We start from the raw sequence: 1,927 nt of genomic DNA on the forward strand, positions 1-1,927 counted from the left end.
TGGATCTATCAGCAAATCACTGGACTGAAATCATTTGAAGGCTAAGTATTGCCAAATTCTCTTTCTAGAAGTGTGTAATTGCATATGCCATCCACGTACTTACCAACAATGTACGGAAATGTCTGTCTCCTCATGGCCTGACAGACATATTATATTACCAATCTTTTGGATTTTTGTAAATCTAAGAGGTAAGAAATTGCATTTCAGCACAGTGTCCACTTGCATTTTTTCTTACTATGAGTCAGGTAGAGCATCTCTTCATTTACAGTCTTTTGCATTCTTTTTCTATCAATTATCTATTGATACCTGTTATTCATTTTTCTGTAACGTTTTTATTCTTCTAAGTACAGCATAGAATATTATATCTTATTATTTATAATACAATGATATTATTGTATCATAAATACTTTTTTTTCTGGTTGGTAAGGAAGAAGAACTAGTCTACCACCAATCACTCCATGTCACTGGAGCAGTGGTGTGCTAGAGTCAACTTTTGCTGGTGCAAGAGACAACTCTGCATCTATTTCTAGTTTTGCCTTCAATGACGTCACGTTGATAGCTAGAAACAACCAGCGTACTGTCCTTTCACCTCCTTTTTAAAAATTAAATGTTTGCATTGCCACAGATGGATATGCTTGCTTTGTTCCTGATTGGGGAAGGTATTCAGTCTTTCACCATTAAGTATGATGTTAACTGTTAAACATTTGTAGATGCCTTTAATCAACTTTGAATAGTTTCCCTCTATTGCTATTTTGCTGAAACTGTACATCGTCAATGTGGATGTTTGATTTTGTCAAATGCTCTTTATACATTAATTGATGTTGTGTCTGGAATTGGTGGGTTCTTGGTCTTGCTGACTTCAAGAATGAAGCCGCGGACGCTCGCTGTGAGTGTTACAGTTCTTAAAGATGGTGTATTCGGAGTTTGTTCCTTCTGATGTTCAGATGTGTCCAGAGTTTCTTCCTTCTGGTGGATTTGTGGTCTGCTGGCTCCAGGAGTGAAGCTGCAAAACATCCTGGTGAGTGTTACAGTTCATAAAGGCGGTGCATCCTGGGTTGTTTGTTCCTCCCGGTGGGTTCGTGGTCTCGCTGATTTCAGGAGCGAAAGCTGCAGACCTTTGCAGTGAATGCTACAGCTCATAAAGGTGGCATGCACCCACAGAGTGAGCAGCAGCAAGATTTATTGCGAAGAGTGAAAGAACAAACATTACATATGATTGAAAGGGACCCCAGTGGGTTGCTGCTGCTGGCTAGGGTTGTCTGCTTTTATTCCCTTATTTGGCCCCACCCACATCCTGCTGATTGGTCCATTTTACAGAGTGCTGATTGGTCCATTTTACAGAGTGCTGATTGGTCCGTGTTGACAGAGTGCTGATTGGTGCGTTTATAAACCTTTAGCTAGACATAAAGTGCTGGTTGGTGTGTTTACAATCCTTCAGCTAGACAGAAAAGTTCTCCAAGTCCCCACCGGACTCAGAAGCCCAGCCAGCTTCACATCTCAATGTGATCGTATATTTTTTCTTCTTTAGTCTATTGATAATGAATTTCATTTTGATGAACATGTGTTAAATCATTTCAGAAACTATGTTGGGTGTGTTTTCCAAATGTCAGTCTTCATTTTCTTTATAAACAAGCCACTCCTTCAATTATGTTCCTTAAAGAAAGGGTATGTGTAGGTGAAGAAGAACCTCTCATGTTTTTGTGCTGAGTTTCATGTCCTATTCCACTTCTGCCTGATGTAGGCTGAAAATAATGGAAGACAGTGTCCTTGGAACATGGCTGCTATCTTTGCAAGGATGTGCACAAATTGGGAAAGTGAATTGACAGGAGAATGAATATGTGGCCTTGTCACTCACCCAAATGGAAAATGATTTACTGCAATTGCATTCACTATATAACTGTTTAGAATTGTCTAGCTAGAGGATAGG

At 39.5% G+C, this 1,927-nt stretch overlaps 1 annotated feature.

The window, feature by feature from the left end:
• Window positions 376-1,575: an enhancer, noted in NCBI's record as "BRD4-independent group 4 enhancer chr13:104591465-104592664 (GRCh37/hg19 assembly coordinates)". NCBI's record gives its function as "activates an origin of replication core promoter dependent on BRD2, P300/CBP, MED14 and CDK7 cofactors, and independent of BRD4, by STARR-seq in HCT116 cells {active_cell/tissue: HCT116}" and the evidence as "EXISTENCE:reporter gene assay evidence [ECO:0000049][PMID:35650434]".

The sequence above is a fragment of the Homo sapiens genome, chromosome 13, assembly GCF_000001405.40.
Source record: "Homo sapiens chromosome 13, GRCh38.p14 Primary Assembly".
NCBI lineage: Eukaryota > Metazoa > Chordata > Mammalia > Primates > Hominidae > Homo > Homo sapiens.